This window comes from Homo sapiens, chromosome 6 (assembly GCF_000001405.40).
Source record: "Homo sapiens chromosome 6, GRCh38.p14 Primary Assembly".
Taxonomy (NCBI): domain Eukaryota; kingdom Metazoa; phylum Chordata; class Mammalia; order Primates; family Hominidae; genus Homo; species Homo sapiens.
This window is the reverse complement of record NC_000006.12, coordinates 5,096,143-5,115,234: the sequence shown is the minus strand read 5'-3', so window position 1 is coordinate 5,115,234 and position 19,092 is coordinate 5,096,143. Positions and strand designations below refer to the sequence as shown.

At 48.3% G+C, this 19,092-nt stretch overlaps 1 protein-coding gene and 1 long non-coding RNA gene across 9 annotated transcripts in view; one reads left to right on the top strand and one right to left on the bottom strand.

The window, feature by feature from the left end:
- Window positions 1-19,092, bottom strand: part of LYRM4-AS1 (LYRM4 antisense RNA 1) — a 236,681-nt gene that overhangs the window by 125,262 nt on the left and 92,327 nt on the right. The window lies entirely within an intron of this gene.
- LYRM4 (LYR motif containing 4) overlaps window positions 1-19,092 on the top strand; it is a 229,198-nt gene that overhangs the window by 145,716 nt on the left and 64,390 nt on the right. For 3 of the 8 annotated variants that reach the window (NR_104418.1, NM_020408.6, NM_001164841.3), the window contains one exon: window positions 5,744-6,816. The exons of 4 other annotated variants lie outside the window; for them this stretch is intronic. Coding sequence is in view for 1 of the 4 variants with exons in the window: in NM_020408.6 (NP_065141.3) it covers window positions 5,744-5,812 (69 nt within the window). In the remaining 3 variants the exon portion in view is untranslated. Of the gene's footprint in view, window positions 1-1,817; window positions 2,165-5,743; window positions 6,817-19,092 lie in introns of those variants that run through there. One more of the 8 variants, NR_104417.2, reaches the window with a different exon arrangement.

Below are 19,092 nucleotides of genomic sequence, written 5' to 3'. Positions count from 1 at the left end.
TCCAACAATTCTACTTCTAGAAACCTTTTATAAGGAAAAAATCAGATTTAATAAAAGGTTATATATAAGAATGATAATCCTAGCATTAAGTGGAAACAGTCTAAATGTTCATCATATGGGAGTGATTAAATAGATTGTGATATATCTTTACAATGGAGTATTATACAGTTACTGAAAATATTCCTTAAAAGAACAGTTAATGATATAAGCATCATAATATGAAGTTAAAAAGCAAGTTATGCTATGATCCCACATGTAAATATTGTGTATATATACACCACGTTTTAAATCTATATGTGATTTAACAGACTAGACAAAAATACCAAACTATTAATAGCCACATATCCAAATGCAACTAAATATTTAGAGCAAGCTTGTCCAACCCACAGCCTGCGGGCCACGTGCAGTCCAGGATGGCTTTGAATGTGGCCCAACACAAATTCGTAAACTTAAAACATGAGATTTTTTTTTTTGCGATTTTTTTTTTTTCCTTTTAGCTCATCAGCTTTCGTTAGTGTTAGTGTATTTTATGTGTGGCCCAAGACAATTCTTCTTCTAGTGTGGCCCAGGGAAGCAAAAAGATTGGACACCCCTGATTTAAAGAGAGAAAGAACAGAATCTTTATAATTTCCTGTGTAGCTTTTTTAAACTTTGGAAACAGCTACAATAGGTACCTGTTAATTGCACCTCCCCAGGTGATAGGGACATTTTTTCCACTTGCCACGGGGCACAGATCACCCCCTTCTCTGCACCGGCCTTCGTTTCATTAGTCCTATGATCTCACATTAAAATTCTCATTGTGCATTCAAGTCAGTAAGGATTGGTTTAGCTGTGTGTAGCAAGAAACCCAAGTAACAGGAGCTTTTAAAAGATGGAGGTTTATTTTTCTCACACATAAAAGAAAGCTGGCAATAAGGCGTCCAGAGCTGGCATGGTGGCTCCATGGTCATCAAGCACTCAGTCTCCACCTTTCTGCCCCCCAGTCTTAGCGTGTAGCTCCCATATCAAACTTATCTTACAGTGCTAGATGGCTGCTGGTGTTCCAGCTATCAAGTTCATATTCCAGGCAGAACGGAGACAAACTGGAGGGCGGGCAGGCACTTGAGTGCCCCCAGTCTGAGGCAGCCCACTTCAAAGAACTGTCCTAGATGCTCCAGCCATGATGACAGCTGACACCTCATTGGCCACCTCTAGCTGCACAGGAGTCTGGAGAGTGTAAACTTCTAGATGTGCACTGACCCCATAAGGAAAATGGAGAGATGGATGCTGGGCAGGCCACAGTTATCTCATGTGGTTATCTCAAATTTTCATAACGTAGGCTCATAGTTATAGTGATGTGTAATTCGCATTATGAAGAAATCATTGATTAGCCAGGCATGGCGGCACATGCCTGTAATCCCAGCTACTTGGGAGGCTGAGGCAGGAGGATCACTTAAGCCCAGGAGTTCAAGACCAGCCTGGGCAACATAGTGAGAACCTGTCTCTAAAAAAAAAAAAAAGAGAGAGAGAAAAGAAAGGAAGAAATTGTTGGGACCTGGTAGAGGAGCAGCATTTTGGAGAAAGCACTGGACAGAGATCAGAAGATCTGGGGTTCATGTCTTTGTGTCTATATGGATTGATTTTTCTGGGCCTTCATTCTTCAACAAAAACTGAGGGCAGTGATTCTTACAGCATCCACCTGCAGCAGTCTTGAACTTGCAAGGGTGGGTCCCCCTTCAGGGCAGCACCCACGTATTCCTCTGGCTGCCCGTCTATAACTTCTGCCACTCCTCCTTCCAAGCTGGAATCACCTCTCACCTGCACTCTTTTTCTTTTAGATAACGGAATCTCGCTCTGTCACCCAGGCTGGAGTGCAGTGGCGTGATCTCAGCAACCTCCACCTCCCAGGTTCAAACCATTCTTCTGCCTCAGCCTCCTGAGTAGCTGGGATTATTGGCGCGTGCCACCATGGCCTATATATTTTTAGTAGAGACAGGGTTTCACCGTGTTGGTCAGGCTGGTCTCAGACTTGTGACCTCGTGATCCACCCGTCTCGACCTCCCGAAGTGCTGGAATTATAGGCGTAAGCCACTGCACCCATCCTCACCTGCACTCTTACTGGCCCCTTAACTGGGTCCCCTCGCCACAACTCTCCACCTCTTCTTCGCCTTGACCTGAAGACAAGGTGATCTTTTTAACCACAGATCTGGGTGGGTTGGTCCTCCATTTTTAACATTTTAGCAGCTTTCCATTCCCTCCAAGTGGAGCATGGCATCTGTGTTCTGGCCCTACCCCACTTCTCTTTTATTCTCTCTTCTCTGCCTTCTCCACCCCCATCCTCACCCTCACCCTTCTCTATCCACACTCAGCCCATTTCTGTCTCTGGCAGTCTCCACGTCCAATCGTGTCATGGGCTTCTTACCCTGCCCCAGCTCCAGCCTCTGGGCCTCTGAGCTCTTCCTCCCTTGAGGCTGTCTCCTCTGAGAAGTCTTCACTGACTCCCTAGGCTGAGTCACATCTTCTAGATCCCTCTAGTCCTGCGTGCCCTCCTCATGCTAGCACATTCCAGATGCTAGGTCATTTATCTCAGTTCTTGTCAGTTTTCCCTTCCTGACTCAGAGATTTCTGCAGCCATTGATCACATCTGAAAGTCTCACCCGCACAAGGTGCCTGGAGCAGGAGGTGCTCACTGCTTGTCTGCAGAATGACTCAGGGCTTGAGCTGCTCCTCCAGGGCTCCTTCAGGTTTTCTGGGTCTTTAAACACCTGTGCATTGTGTTCTGTGTATGCCTTTCACTTGTAGGAAAGAGCCCTGCCTGCCTGTCTGTCTTCGCGGCAGAGCCATTTGCTCTCAGTGCATTGGGCTCAGATTCCTTCGCTCGCTCGCTCATCACAGATCTGCTGAGCAGTGTTGTCTACCAGGACTGTGCGAGGCCCAGGGACACAGAAAGCAGTGTTCACCAGTCCTGCCTTTGAGGGGCTCTCAGGGGGGTGGAGAAGGGAAGACAGACATGAACTGGAGCACATGACCTCATAGGGACCACACACAGACCACACAGATGGCCCAGGTGGCTGCAAAGAGGAGCACGGGCTTCGCGAGCGTGCCGCCCAGGCTGCAGGCAGCGAACGGGTGGACAGAAGAGCGCCCTCCCTTCCGGAGGGGGCAGGAAGCCAGTCACCCCTCCTGCTACTGCAACACATTTCTCCCCTCCCTGTCTGCCACGACTGTCCCTTGGCCAGGTTCCCACCAGCGCCCTAGGGACTCCCATGCCATGTAGGTGCTGTACTGGTTGGGGATCTCACACATCTTTCTCTTGACTCTGGCCAGCTTTGTTGAGGGCCCAAAGACTGCTGGAGCTGCAAAGGACCATAAAGATCACCTAGAAGTTTCCAGACCTCATCCCACAGGCAAGGAACTGAGACGAGAGGAAGTGAAGAGTCTCACATGGCAAGTGGCAGAGCCACCCAAGCTGCAGCCCAGCTGTCCTGTTCCTCCTGCCCCCACCCATCCCAGGGCCTTTCCAGGGTGCCACCTTTCCTTCCAGAGTGCCAGAAGCAGAACATGTGGATCAACACGGGGTCATTCAGAGACCACGCGGCTGTCATTAGAGGCGTCCCAGATGGATCCCGGAGCCGTGGACAGTGCCTGTAATCACAGAAGCTGAGAGTTGGAAGGAATCCATCTGGTTCAGCCCTGGTCTAGCATATACCTTCCTTCTCCATCCTCACTTTCTGCTCCTCACGGGGACAGAGAACTCACAGCTTCCCAAGCCAGCCCATTGCATTTTTGAACAGGTTTCTTCTTATGCCGTCCCATAACTCCTGCCTGCTACTAAAGCCTTGAGAAGATGACGGTAAACTCTGTCAAGTACTCGTGAATGTCCGATTGTGGACACTTCTAGGACAGGTTCCTGGTGAATCCCCTGAGATCAATTAAATACAGAACAAGCTCCCAGGTAGCTGAACCATCCCAGCTGTTATACAAAACTGTTTGTATTAGCCTAGTTTTAATTATCCAAAAAGTAATGGTTCCCTTTTTTTTAAGGATCATTGGTATTCTAGCCTTTCTTTTCTCAATATCATTTGATAGTGGGTTCATCTATCTGTTGAGGTTAATATATGAAAACAAAACCATGTACTATTCAGGGTGGAGGACAATGCCAATCCTCCCCTTCTCTGTAGTAGGGTATAGATGGCTTCAGCTCACCCAGCAGCTATTTCAGGTTGTCCAGAAGGGAAGGCCAGAAAGTCCCTGTGCTGCATTCATCGTGACTGTACCGTAGCCCCTGAGAAAACCAGTGCGGCTCCTCACAGCCCTCAAGATGATTTCCGACCTTGCCACCTAAAGTGTGGCCCGTGGACCAGCAGCATCAGCATTACCTGCAGGTTGCGAGAAACGCAGCACCCCAGACCCTCCCCATCCACTTGCGTCCAAAGTCTTCTCTATATTAATGAGAGGAAAGGACGACTGAAGACACAGTAGCAAAGCTCATCACTGTGACTTGTTAGGAGCACTCATTCTCTACACCCCCTTCCCATAACTCCTACCTACCTCTTTTGGTTTTTAATTAGGACATTCACTTGCATTTAAAAATACCTGCAAGATCCCCCCATCCCCCATATCTCCACTGTCTACTTCTCGTTCTTCTTAGATGACGTGCTGCTCTCGCCTCTTCCTTCGCTTTCTCTTGCACCGCAACACTTAGTTATTATCCATGCCACGGACCTTCAAGATACCTCTGTGCAAGGGCAGACTGAAGACCGAGCAAATGGCATGGAAAACAGGACACCTCAGATGGACGGCGCGGCGGTCCTTGGTGACAGAGCACTGCTCTTTAACACATGCTGTAGTAATGACATGATCGCCTTCTGTCCGGGGCCTTCACTTCGAAATAGAGCACTAAGATCGGGGAGGAAAACCATGAGGATGTTGACCCCTGGCTGCTCTGTTTGCTTAAACAGCAGTTACTCACCCCGAATTACCCATAGATAGTGACCAACTGGTCTGAAATCCAGATAGAGTTGCTAATGATCAGCCCTTCCTTCACCCATTCCACTTGTTCTTAAAAATGTATCACTCAGGAAATGCTTTACAGAAAAACTGTGGCAAGACCCTTTGTTGCAGAGGAAAGACCTGCTCTAGCCCCAGAGGATGGCTCCAGCATCCACCTGGGACAGTGGAAACATTGGGCATTAAGACACTTAATAAAAAGGACACTTTAAAAAGAAGGGGGCAGGAAAGATAGAAGGCAGGAGGTGCAGGCACTCAGACAACTGCCCTCGACCCCACCCGGGATGGGCCACGGACAGGTGTCTGCATTGCCCTGAATGCAGCGCTTTTCCTACCCCAGCATAGACGGCGCCCATTTCTGCACTGTTCTAAAACCCCTTCCCTATGCGAGAATCAGTTCTAAGGGAAGGAAGCCCTCTTAGGAGAGGAGGTACTGGGCACACATCTGACAGCTCTGCCACCAGCAGGCAGGCGTCACCCAGCTCAGCACAGCCCCGAGTCCCAGGCTGCAGCCTCCTGTGCTGTTTCAGAGGGGAGGAATGGGTGTGTGGATCTCTGTAACTTCTCACAGTGAGGGAAACGGGGGTTGGATGGTGCTCTAGTGGCCGGCTTTGCCCCGCAGTGCAGTTGCCGGAAGGGAGCAGCCCTGGGATGGCCGACGTTTGTATTAGAAATGTTAGGAAATGTTCCTTCTGGCCTTTCCCAGGGGCTAGAGGGCCACGGTTCCTGACCTGTGTCCTTTCTTTGCCTTCAGGTCCACATTGGCCAACTGTATTCAACTGACAAGCTGATCATTGAGAATCGAGACATGCCCAGGACCTAGCAAGCCGGGGACCAGCCACCAGTGGCGGCCAGGGACCACCTTCAGCATCCACTCTCTGTTTGAGATGGGGGCTCCCAAAACCAGCTTACAATAGCCTTTTGCGCTGCCTGTCCTGTGGGAGCTGATAAACCAAGTCACATTTGCATTCTGTTGCAGGCTTAGTGAAAAAGGACTGCTGTCTTTCCTTGGTTCAAGTGTTAGAATGGAGAGCTGGAGTTCGTTCAGAATAGTGCTGTGTGTTACCACGTCTCCCCTGCACCCCATTCCTACCTTGTAGCTCATGACCATTGTGTATAGCATTTCTACACTTTGTTTCTTGGTCCTTGGCAATAAAAAGAATGATCTCCCTGAGCCTTTGACCCCAGATAAACCCCTCCCAATTAATGCATTTTCATTTCCTACTGATACAAGGCCTGGAGAGGGCTGTTGGGGGCCCTCAGGGAGGGTTCAACTCTGAGACGAGAACTGCCTTGGTGAAGGCAAGTTCAAGCACCACTTGAGACTGGGGGCAGCATGGAGTAGGGCAGGGCTACGGGGATACACGGTGCACCCTGCAACTTATACCTGAGCCCAGTACAACAAAGGTGACGGGTGTGTAGGTACACACCCAGAGATGGAGCACTGCAGATCAGCAACCTCAGCCCCACCTGGGAATTTGCTGGAAATGCAGGCTCAAGCCCCTCCCCACACCTGGTGAATGAGAGAGCCCCAGCCTGACCCAAGCCCAGGGCGACTCCCATACCCTGAAGCCTGGGGCATGCTGGGCAGCACCGGTGCCCAAATCTGGCTGGTGGACAGAAGCACCTGGAGAGTTGGAGAGCTTTTTAAAAAGACATCTCTCAGCACTTCCCTCTCTGCAGATTCTGACTCAGTAAGTGAGGGGTGAGGCACAGTCATTTTTCTCTATTCTGAAGCTCTCCCACTGTTTTCAATGTTTAACCAACTGGGGACCCCTGCTCTTTAAGTATATTACAGGTAATAAAGATATTGTTTGTATGCTTTTATTCTTGGAAACAGATTCATTCCAAACATAGAAAGAACATATTAAATAACTTGCTTGTCATCTGGGGAGTTTACGAGGGACCAGACCTGGCAGAGCGGTTTCTTGTTTCCCTTTGCATACAGTGCTCAGTGGATTTGGTATCTGTGGGTTAAGGTTTGGAACAGGCTCCTATAAATAGCACCGGTCCTGGAATAGCTGCAGCACTGTCACCCCCTCATTTTAACTCCGACGGTCATGGGAGTGAGTACGCACTGTCTGAGCCCGTGTTCTTCTCACCCTCATATGAGAACTCATGTCTTCCAGTCGCTTTTAGAGAGCATAGATTTGCTGCAATGATGCGTTCAAATAGATGTAACGTGTAGCCATTCTATTTGGCAGTACAACTTTTGATTTCAGGATAAAGTCTTTTTTTTTGAGATGGAGTCTCGCTCTGTCACCCAGGCTGGAGTGCAGCGGTGCGATCTTGGCTCACTGCAACCTCCACCTCCTGGGTTCAAGCCATTCTCCTGCCTCAGCCTCCCGAGTAGCTGGGATTACAGGGGCCTGCCACCACGCCCAGCTAATTTTTTGTATTTTTAATAGAGACGGGGTTTCACTATGTTGGCCAGGCTGGTCTTGAACTCCTCGGCCCCCCAAAGTGCTGGTATTACAGGCATGAACCACCACCCCCTGCCAATTTCAGGATAAAGTCCTGAGCATCTGTGAAAATAATGAAGCTCTTAGCAAGTCCCAGATCTCTTACCCTCTAACCAGTTCCTGCCTGGGAGCTGCAGTGTTAGAGCATATGCAAAGCCCTAATTGGGGGAGAGCTGTTCGGTGGACAGTGAACGGAGGTGATGTGGCAAGTATAATCACTCCCTTCAGCTGACTGTCACGGGGCAGAGCCGCCCAGCCCAGCCCTGTGTGTGGCTCTGGCTCAGGTTTTCCACCTTGCATCAGTGCAGTGGAGTTCGTGGTCACTCAGCAGTGAATGCATCCAACCACGCTACTAACGCACGGCACTGCTGATTTATACTTAATTTAAGCAACTGCTACTTGGAACCGAAGTCCAGATTTGAACCTCCGTGCTGAAGGCATCAAATTGCCGGCAAGATAACAGCTCCAGAGGAGACTTCTCCCACTCCCCCAGGTTTTACGCAATGAGGCAGTCCACCCAAACTTAACGTGGGCTGCAGGCTGTAACAGCAGGTTGCTTTTGTGTTCATTAAACTGCATGAATGGGTTTGAACATGCCCAAAGCCTTGCTAATGCAGACTTAATTTTGTAAAATTAACTATGCCTTTGGAATCTGCAGAAAGATACAAATCCGAATTCTGTGGCAGGAAACGCCACAAACAGGCCTTGGTCCTCCACCTTTCAGGTGTATATCTGGCAGGCAGAGCCTGGCACTGGGTACTCCCCAACTGAGATGACCCAATATTGATGCTAGAGCTTCGAATAAAGTGGCATTCCCATGGGGGTGACCCCTGGTGTTTCTCTAGGGAAGTATTCCACCTCCTTGACTATGCACCAACTGAGGGGAATGTGGGCAACTCCAACATCCATCATGGCCAGCCTCACAGAACTCTCTAGAACTTGTGCCTGCTTTGAAGATAGGATCCGGGCTGGGGTCTGGAGATCACTTTGCAGCACTAATATTGAGCAAATGAGAACTACTATCATTAGTTAACTTCCCAGGCAGAACTCATTGGCCGAGCAAGGCTATATCCTAGACTTTCAGAGACAGCTCTGGGCTGGGCTGGCTGTCATGACATAATAGCTGGGAGATCTTGCACGGCCAAGTACAGGGCTGTGTTGTTCTGATGGCTGTTGGAATCTGGATTTTGGAACTGAAAGAATTGGCTAGATTGCTTTAGGTATACTCCGTCCTGCTGCTAACTAAGTAGCAGTGACCTTTAACTCCCTTCATCCACAGCCTCTCCCGTTAATCTCAAGCCCCACCATACAACCCACCATCATCCAGGAGCAAAAGGGACAGGCAGAGGGTGAAGCCTACAAAGATGACAAACATCAGAGCTCACCTAGTCCAACCCTCAAATCTTCAGGTGTTAAAACAAAGAGCCTGAACATCTGCAGATCACGTACAGAGTCAGGGCCTTTCCCCTAAACCCCTTTCACTCATTCATTTATTCACTCAGTATTGACTAAGGCCACCTAGTGCCAGGTGCCAGGTGCCAGGGAGCAACCAGTGAACAAGACAGACGTACCTTCATAAAGCCTGTGTCTAGCAGGGAAATCTGAGAAGAAAATGACAAGTCTTATGAATGTTACAAAGAGGGAAATATGAGTGCTGCCAGAGCCGATGGGACGGGCCAGGGAAGGGCTCCCCAGGGGATATTTACACGTGCAAATTAATGATGAGGATTGGCTGTGTGAAGGTGGGGAGAGGAGCTCTCTAGGCAGGAGGAACAGCACATGCAAAGCCCTTAATTGGGGGAGAGGGTAGTTCCATGCAAAGAACTAAAGGGAGTCTGGGATGGTGGCAGCCAAGGAAGAGGGCTCTTTCCACATCGTGGACGGCCTTGGAGCCTCAGCCTAAGGATGGTGAGCAACTCGGGAGTTTTTAGGCAAGATGAGGTTTTTGTTTTGTTTTGTTTTGTTTTTTTGAGACAGAGTCTCGCTCTGTTGCCCAGGCTGGAGTGCAGTGGCATAATCTCAGCTCACTACAACCTCTGCCTCCCGGGTTCAAGCAATTCTCCTGCCTCAGCCTCCTGAGTAGCTGGGACTACAGGCGCACGCCACCATGCCCAGCTAAGTTTTATATTTTTTAGTAGACACAGGATTTCGCCATGTTGGCCAGGCTGCTCTTGAACTCCTGACCCCAGATGATCCGCCTGCCTCGGCCTCCCAAAGTGCTGGGATTACAGGCGTGAGCCACCGCCCCCGACCGAAGTTTGTATTTTTTAAAAGGTCACATTGTCTGCTTTTGAGGGGATACACTGGGAGAGATGCAGGGAGACCAGCTTTTCGGAGGAGTGGGGGATTGGGTGTGGCATTCCAGGCAAGCGATGGTGACTTCACCAAGAGGCAACAGCTGAACAGAAGCAGAGTCAGCATCACCCTGAGAACTGGCTGGGGTGGGCCGCCATTGAAGGAGGACAGGAAACCTGGAGCAGAGCTGCCCCAGCTGAGCACAGCCCGAGCTCCCCAGCCCACCTGCCGATGCGCGAGAAAGTCCACAGAGTCCCCTAGCCTGGTCTAGCTTAGGTCAGTCATATTCAGCCACCCCTCAGACATGTGCTAAATAATTAACTGTTACATTAGTCACTGAGTTTGGAGGTAGATTATTATGAAGTAACAGCAAACTAATACAGAGAGCATCTCTGTATTAATGTATTAATGTATTACTTTCTCAGGGCCACATAGCAAACCAAAGAGTAGGCAGACAAACGGCCAAAACTGCAGGTCTCCTGTATGGGGACATTTCCACAAATATCTTCAGAATACTGGTCACTCCCTTTAGAGAACAAGTCCTGGAGAAACAGTCGAAACAGTCATCACGTGTCCTACAGATGGAAGGGCTGGCCAACCAGAAAGAAAAGAAAAAGTCGAGTCAGCAGAACTTGGTGATTGATTGGATGAGGAGACCAGGCCTGAGGGCTGCAGGGAGTCTAGGAGGAGTCTCAGGAGCAGGGCCTGAGGAACTAAGAAGGGGCTCTGGCTGAGACCAGACAGGAGCAGCCACTGTCTGGAATTTTGTCCCCACTGCTGACTTCGAACAACCTCAACTTCAAACAGAAAGCCCAGACTCGATGAATTTATCTTTTCTTCAAAGTAGAGAAAGGGTAGCTCTTTTCTTCCCAGGAAATTGTTTATCCATTTAATAATTTTTAAAAATCACTGGAGTTGGGTGTGGTGGCTCATACCTGGTAATCTCAGCACTTTGAGAGGCCGAAGTGGGCAGATCACTTGAGCTCAGGAGTTCGAGACCAGCCTGGGCAACATAGTGAAACCCTGTCTATACAGAAAATACAAAAATTAGCTGGGTGTGGTGGCATGCAACTGTTGTCCTAGCTACTCTGGAGCCTGAGGTGGGAGGATCACTTGAGCCTGGAAGGCGGAGGTTGCAGTGAGCCATGATCGCACCACTGCACTCCAGCCTGGATGACAGAGTGATACCCTGTCTAAAAAAAAAAAAATAACTGGGATAAAACAACTCGAAAGACCCTTATAAAGATTTTACCCGTAACTCTGTAGAGCAAATAACTTCCTGCTTTAGGCAAAGCTCTTTGTGTGTAAGTTCGATTGGAAGAGGAGGGCTGGTGGGGGGAGATTCTCTACTTTGGTCATGAGATTAACATTAAAAGTTTGAGGAAGGTTGCTCTATATATTGGCTGCCTGTTTCTAAGACTGAAAATAAAAGCACAGTAAAATATCAACAAGTATACAGAAAATATACATTTGTAGAAAATTAGCTTTTTTTTTTTTTTTTGCTAAGTACTTCATATAAACTAGTATTTGCTTTCTAGATTAAAGAATATCTCCTCCAGGTGTGGTGGCTCACACCTGTAATCCCAGCACTTTGGGAAGCCGAGGTGGATGGACCACGATGTCAGGAGTTCAAGACCAGCCTGGCCAACATGGTGAAACCCCATCTCTCCTAAAGATACAAAAAAAATTAGCCAGGCGTGGCAGTGGGCGCCTGTAATCCCAGCTACTCAGGAGACTGAGGCAGAGAATTGCTTGAAGCCAGAGGCAGAGGTTGCAATGAGCCGGGATCACGCCACTGAACTCCAGCCTGGGTGACAGAGTGAGACTCTTGTCTCAAAAAAAAAAAAAAAAAAAAAAATATCTCAGATATTGAAGCGAACCTATAAATAACAGCAGAAGCTGAAGAAAAGATAACGGATCAAAAAGCAGAAGGAGAAAGCTTCCCTGTCCCCAAGGACCTGCCCACAGTCGTGGATGAGAAGTCCCTTGATAAGTAGGGTCTGAACCCACGTGATCAAATGTTAGCTCTGTGAACCTGTGCCAGTGGCTGTGTGTCAGTAGCCCAGGGTGATTCAGAAGCTCCATGAAGCAGCCATCTTTCCTGGATCTCTGGAATGTACACATTTGCTGAGATCACAAAGATGAAGCTGGCAGAACCCGAGTGGATATTCATTATTACGAACAGAAGAACAGCCAACAGGAGCCGTGCCATGTGCAACCCCGAGTTGACAGATGCCTCCCCGCTTCTTCTGTGTTTGCCAGTTGTTACAAAATGATCTAGAGAAAAACTGGAACTTGATGGAGAAAGCAATGGCTTACGATTCAGCAGGCTTTCTTGGAGAGTTTACCTAAAGTCTATGTGGACGGTGGCTCAGCTCACCTCTGAGAACAATACGATCTTCACTTTTCAATCTTTCTGCAGCTCTAATTAGTGCCACAGGGAACCATGGATGAAAATGGCTTCTCGTGTTGATATCCATTTGGGGAATAGGATGGATGCAGCTGCTTTTGCTCAAGGGCAGAGTTTTGACTTCAAAGACCCTGAAGAGAACCCAGAAGGAAAACTCTCAGAGGTCAATGGACTATATTCTTTACCTGGGGGATCGTTGACACCACAGCAGTAAAAGCGAAGTCAGTGTCGTGCTGTCTTGAAATTAGATGACAAGAATGACTGACACCAATAGAGCTGGAACTGCACTTGGAGCCTGAGTAGCCGGTCTCAGGCTAACCACACCTGTGCTGACCACAGCGTGGCCCGTGTTGTTCATGAGGCATTCTGGCTGTACCTCCACAGGGATGCAAGACTTCCAGTGAGAGGCTGCTTCTGCAAGAAAATACCTGCCTAGAAATGGTCCGCTTTCTCTTCCTAATAAAGTGATAAGCTTTCTTAGTCCAATGGTACTAAATAGAAACCTTTTTCTTCCATCAGCCAGAGAGGTACTTTATTTCCTTTGTTTGGGAGTGTCAGTTAAATATTGTTGAAACATTTCACTAGAACTTCCTGTCAGTTACCTAGTGAATTCATGTGACTTCATCAGTCTTGAATACAGAGACCGTTTAATAACAATACAATTGGTTCTAGTCTTAAAGGAGCATTTCATTTACATGCACATGTGTGATTTGCACAGCACATACAGGATGTATGACCAAGGACTACAATGCTGAGGCTAAGAGTCTTGTCAAGAATTGCCAAAGACACTCTTCCATTCATATTTCAAGCATGTAATGTGTTTAAAATTATTAATTTGCCAAGTTTAGCATACATTAACATACTTAAAACATAACCAACACTTCCTTGTGGTTCTGTATAAATAGAAGCTTGTCCAAAGTAGAGAAAGGGTAGCTCAATAGCTCAAACTACTGAAAATATAAAACATGTCTTTAAAAAAAAAATCAGGCCAGGTGCAATGGCTCACACCTTTAATCCCAACACTTTGGAAGGACGAAGCAAGAGGACTGCTTGAGGCCAGGAGTTCAAGACCAGCCTAGGCAACATAACTCTCCAAAAAAAAAAAAAAAAGAAAGCATTAGTTGGATGTAGTGTTTTCGTGTTTTGCCTGTAGTCCCAACTAATCGGGAGGCTGAGGCAGGAGGACCACTTGAGCCCAGGAGGTCAAGTGAGCCATGATTGCACCACTGCACTCTAGGCTAGGGGACAGAGTGAAAAAAAAGAGAGAGGGAAAGATAAAATGGTGTGGTGGTAGTTTTGAGGATGGTGAAAAGAAACTAGTCACTGGATGGGACAGTCTGAGCTGGTGAATGTCTTCATGTACGAGGGACTCTAACCCCAGCCCAGCCACTAGCTGGCTGTGTGATGTTGCCTGAATCCTGGTTCATAGAGGCTTCTTGTTGAGAAAATAAGAGCAGGTCAACTATATGCAGCCCCCAGGTATGGACATCCTAGAAAGTCATTCATTCCTTCATCTTCCAGCCCTGCCACTTCCTGGTGGTGAGATCCTGAGCAAGTAGCTTCACCAAATTTCTGTTTCCTCATTCATAAAAATGAGTTAATCAAATACCTACTTTGCAGGGTTGCTATAAGGATTTTCAGTGCGTAACACAAAGTTCTTTCACGAGGTTTAATACACAGTAAGCAATAACTATTAGCTCCTCTGTCATTCCTTCTAGAAACTGCCAGATACCTTAGGGGATGAAGAAATGGACCAAACATGGATTCATCCCTTAATCACAGAACGTTTTGCGTTGTCCTTAAGACATGTATGTAAATAGCTGTACGAGTTCTGTAAATTCCCTGGGAGAGGCACAGATAAAATAGGGCTGGAAGAGGGAGGGAGTAATATTCAGAAGGAGGAACTACTTCTACCTGAGCCATAAATGCTAGGATAAGGGGTGTGGGGGTTATGTGGTGGGGAAGGGAGCTGCTATGCAAGGGAACAGCGATGTACGGCAGCGATGTGCAGTGGAGCAGCTAGGGAGAGATACACAGAGTGGCCACTGAGAGGGTAGGGAGACCAGCTAGGGCCCTGTGGCAGGCACGGAGACGTAAGGGGACTAGGGGCTGGCAGAGGACGGGGCAGTGTCTGTGTGGGTCAGATGGAGAAGAAAGAATGAATCCAAAAGGCATTTCCAAATGATGGACTTGATGAGCAATGGAGACACAGAATAAAGGATGGGGGCGAAGCAAAGATAACACCAGCACTTTGATCCTGAAAGACTGGCAGGGGGACTGCCCCTCACTGAAATAAGAGGCAACAGCACATCCCCTTAACAGGAACACACGTCCACAGGCCCACACCTCACTCATCGCTGTATGCCTGTGTTTTGCAGAGTCCTGGTTGCAGTAGAGACATTGGGGGTGTCAGCCAAGCTCACAGGAACCCCTTTTGATCCCTCACAACAGGAGTTGGGGGTTCTTGACCACCATTTTGCATCATGACCCCACCCCCACCTCTAACCACAGCTGATGGAACTGGGATGACACCTGTCCCCAAGTAGGCGAAGTACTTTCTCTTAGAACTAGGAGTGAGAGCTGCTGTTTCTGTCTGGGATTCTTGCTGGAGCTCAAGTGACACAGGCCTGGGAGGTCCAGAGCAGTCATCTTCCATCCATCATGTAGACAGGGGAGAAGAGAAATCCGCTCTGGAAGGAGAGACGTATGCAACCTCAGAGAGCAGAGATGAGGCAGGGACCGTTCCTGCTGGTTCCAGGGCTCCATACGTCCTGGCTTCCAGGCCCTGGAGAGGCCCCATGGCCCTTAGATTCCAGGCAAGAACCCAGCATCCATGAGCCAACTCCCCTCCTTGCTGACGCTGGCTTGTATCAGTTTCTGTAACTTGCAGTTTGGCACATGCTGGGTTTTATTGAAATATGGAGCCATATTGAGGCCTGCAAGAGGTAAGTTCCCATTTTTTAGTAGGTAAGTTCCCTACTGAGAAGGGGACCGCGTCCTGCTGAGTCCTGCAGAAGAGCCACGACAGGTCCAAGATGGTAAAGAGAGGGACACTGGCCTCTGGTCCAGACATTGACAGGTCTAAATGTCTAGGGCTGCATCCTGAGGAGAGACCAAGGAGGAGAGGAGGCACCCAAGCAAAATGTCCTTCCTGTGGATCAAGTGCAGATACGCTGTCTTCTCTGTGTGTGTATTTGTTTGATGAGTAGATGGTTCAGAGCAGTGGATCTGGGTCAGATTGACCTGGGTTCAAATCCAAGCTCAGGCTCTTACTTCCTGGCACATGACTCAACCTTTCTGACAGTCAATTTCTTCAGCTGTAAACTAGGAGTGATGTGCCAGGTGCGGTGACTCACACCTGTAATCCCAGCAACTCAGGAAGCCAAGGTGGGAGGATTGCTCGAGGCCAGGAGTTCAAGGCCAGCCTGGGCAACATAGCAAGACCCCATCTCAAAACAAAAGAAATAAAAAATATGAAGATCATAGAGACAGAATGTCATCCTGATAATTGACATAGGCTACAAGGAACAACATTAGAGTCAAAATTGGTTCTATCCCAGCACTTTGGGAGGCCAAGGCAGGAGGATCACTTGAGCACAGTAATTCAAGATCAGCTTGGGCAATATAGTGAGGCCTCATCGCTATAAAATATAGATAGATAGATAGATAGATAGATAGATAGATAGAGAAATAGATTTTTTTTTTAATTAGCCGAGTGTGGTGGCACGTGCTATAGTGGTCCCAGCTACTCGGGAGGCTGAGCTAGGAAGATCGCTTGAGCCCAGGAGGTGGAGGTTGCAGTGAGCCGAGATCATGCCTCTGCACTCCAGCCTGGGTAACAGAGTGAGACCCTGTCTTTAAAAAAAAAAAAATTATATAAGTATATACCTTCAACTAACCCCTTCAAATCCAAGGGAAACATGAGTCTGCAAAGCAGATGCACTGCCCAGATTGTAGCCCCCACTGGTACAAGAAGAGAGACAAGAAAGCCGTGACCCACCCACCCTCAGAACCTCTGAGAGATGCGCTTATGCCACCAGTCAGTGTGGACAATGGCTGTCACCCACCAAGCGGGTCACTGTGAGCAGCACTGGGGGTGTTGGTGGAGGGGAAGAGACCACAAATATGGGAAAAGTCCTCTCGGCAACCAGATGTGAAGAATAGGTGTTCCTCCAGCCCACTCCCCATCTGAGAGTTAGGATTGAGTAAAGTCATCCAGGAAAGTGGCATCACATCCTATGAGTACCTAACCAAGTGGAAAGCAGCCATTCCCCTCAGCAAGGGAGAGACACAGTTGGCAAGTGAGAACACCAGGGGTTCTGCCCGCCATGGTACTGATGGGTGTGTGCCTCGGGTGATGTAAGATGAGGCGCGTGGACGTGTACCTCCCTCACCCGGTTCTGCCCACCCTGCCTCAGATGGGCTGTTGCAGCATGCATTGTTTCCAGCTTTTGACTATGACAGATAATGCCACCGTCAATATTCTTGTGCGTGTCTCCTGGTGCTCGTGTGTACACACTCCTGTACCTAGGTGGAATTTCGGATCATGGGGTTGTTCTGGTTCAGGAGATACTGCCAAACAGGTTTGCATAGGGACAGGCCCACTCCGAGGGTATGTGTAAATGGGTTTGCTCATGAGAATGGCATTGATGTGAAGCGGGGATCTCTGGGCCAAGCCTAGGATGAGAAGCAGCTCTCTGCTGTGGGCAGCCTGCAGCCAAAGGCAGCCTGGCCCTACATCACTCCCGAGCAGAGCAGAGCCACGTGCCTGCTGGGCCTGCCCTACCAGAGACTCACAGTGCCAACTTTGGGGAGGCTGAGGGTCCATCTGAATGAAGAAAATGCCATTTCCTTACATGTGTGGAGCTGGCTGGGTTCGGAACGGAGCAGGATGTGTAAGCGCAGAGACTATCTGTAGATGTAGGCGTGGAGTTGTCCGTATAAATTAAGGTCCAAGCTGGGTGCAGTGGTGCACCCCTGTAGTCCCAGCCACTCAGGAAGCCAAGGCAGGAGGACTCTGCCTGTCCCAGGAGTTCAAGGCCAAGCTGGGCAACATAGCAAGATCCTATCTCTAAAAAGAATTTTTTTTGTATAAAAACACACACCAAACAAAAAGAACAGACACCAAACAGGAGGCCCCTCAAGAGTAGCTGCTTTAGATCGGGTGGATAATCTCTGAAGAGGCTGTTGTAAGGAAACGCAGTGTATGTAAGTGATATTAGTGTATGTACAGCATGTGTATGATGTCGTAACAATGTGCATGCTTAATACACATCTGCGGTGGTTTGAATATTTGTCTCCCTTCATTGCTCCTGTTGAAACTGAATCCCAAAGTGGCAGTATTGAGAGAATGGGCCTTTAAGAGGTGATTGGGTCGTGCAGGCTCTGCCATCATGAATAGATTAATCCATTAATATATTAATTTATTGGCCGGGTACAGTGGCTCTTGCCTCTAATCCCAGCACTTTAGAAGGCTGAGGCAGGAGGATTCCTTGAGCTCAGGAATTAGAGACCAGCCTGGACAACATAGTGAGATGCCATCTCTACAAAAAATCAACAAAAATGATCCAGGTGCGGTGGCTCATGCCTGTAGTCCCAGCTACTTAGGAGGCTGGGGCTGGAGGCTGGAGGATCACTTTAGCCCATCACTTTAGCTGCCATGAGCCATAATCGTGCCACTGCACTCCAGCCTGGGTGACAGAACAAGACCCTGTCTCAAACATATAGGTATATTAGACTGGTGGCTGCCATGAGCCATGATCGTGCCACTGCACTCCAGCCTGGGTGACAGAACAAGACCCTGTCTCAAACATATAGATATATTAGACTGTTGGCTTTCTAAGAAGAGGGAGAGAAACCTGAGCAAGCCTGCTCGGCCCCCTCACCATGTGACGCTCTGCGTCACCTCAGAATTCTGCAGAGAGTCTCCACCAGCAAGAAGGCCCTCACCGCATGCAGCTCCTTCACCTTGGACTCCACAGTCTCCATAACTATAAGACATGAATTCCCTTTCTTTATAAATTATCCAGTTCCAAGTATTCTGTTATAAGCAACAGAAAACAAACTAAGAGCGTCCCACCATGTGGACAAGAAGCAAATGGATACTTTCTGCCCAGGTAACAAAAACAGTTTGTCTGGTTAGCACACTCAGGGCTACTATCATTTGTTCTCCCAACTGGAAGATTCAGTTATGCTTCCTACATTCAGCTGGAGCCAGACAGTGTTTATCCTCAGAATAAAATCAGCAAAAACCAAACTGGCAGAGGCCAGAGGGAAAAGAGAAAGATGTTGAGACCAACGGCTTGCTTGGCACTTCACAACTAACTTCCCTCAGTGCTCACAACAATCTATATTAGGCAGGAGTTACCGCCCCTATTTTGCAAGCATGAAAACTCACTCACACTATTTTAAGGGTCTTATCTGAAAGCACTTGGCTAGCCAGGGGTGAGCTGGTGGCAACTGCAGGCCTGGCTGTCCTAGAGCCAGTGTCTCATCCCCACACAGGCCACCTCCCCCATAGCTAAGGGTACTTCTTCACCAATGCTTTATACACTTCTCAGTGGTAGGGTTGGATTTTTGTGTTTGTTTTTTTGAAACAGTCTTGCTCTGTCACCAGACTGGAGTGCAGTGAAATGATCATAACTCACTGTGGCCTCTACCTCCCAGGCTCAAGCAATCCTCCTACCTCAGCCTCTCAAGTAGCTGGGGCTACAGGTGTGCGCCACTACAACCAGCTAATTTTTAAATTTTTTGTAGATATAGGGTCTCACTATGTTGTCCTGGCTGGTCTCAAACTCCTGGCCTCAAGCAATCCTCCCACCTCAGTTTCCCAAAGTGCTGAGATTACAGGCATGAGCTACTGCACCCACCTAGTGGCAGTTTCTTTGTTTAGTTTTTATTATTGTAACTCTTATTGTGAAATGGTTTAAAACTCAC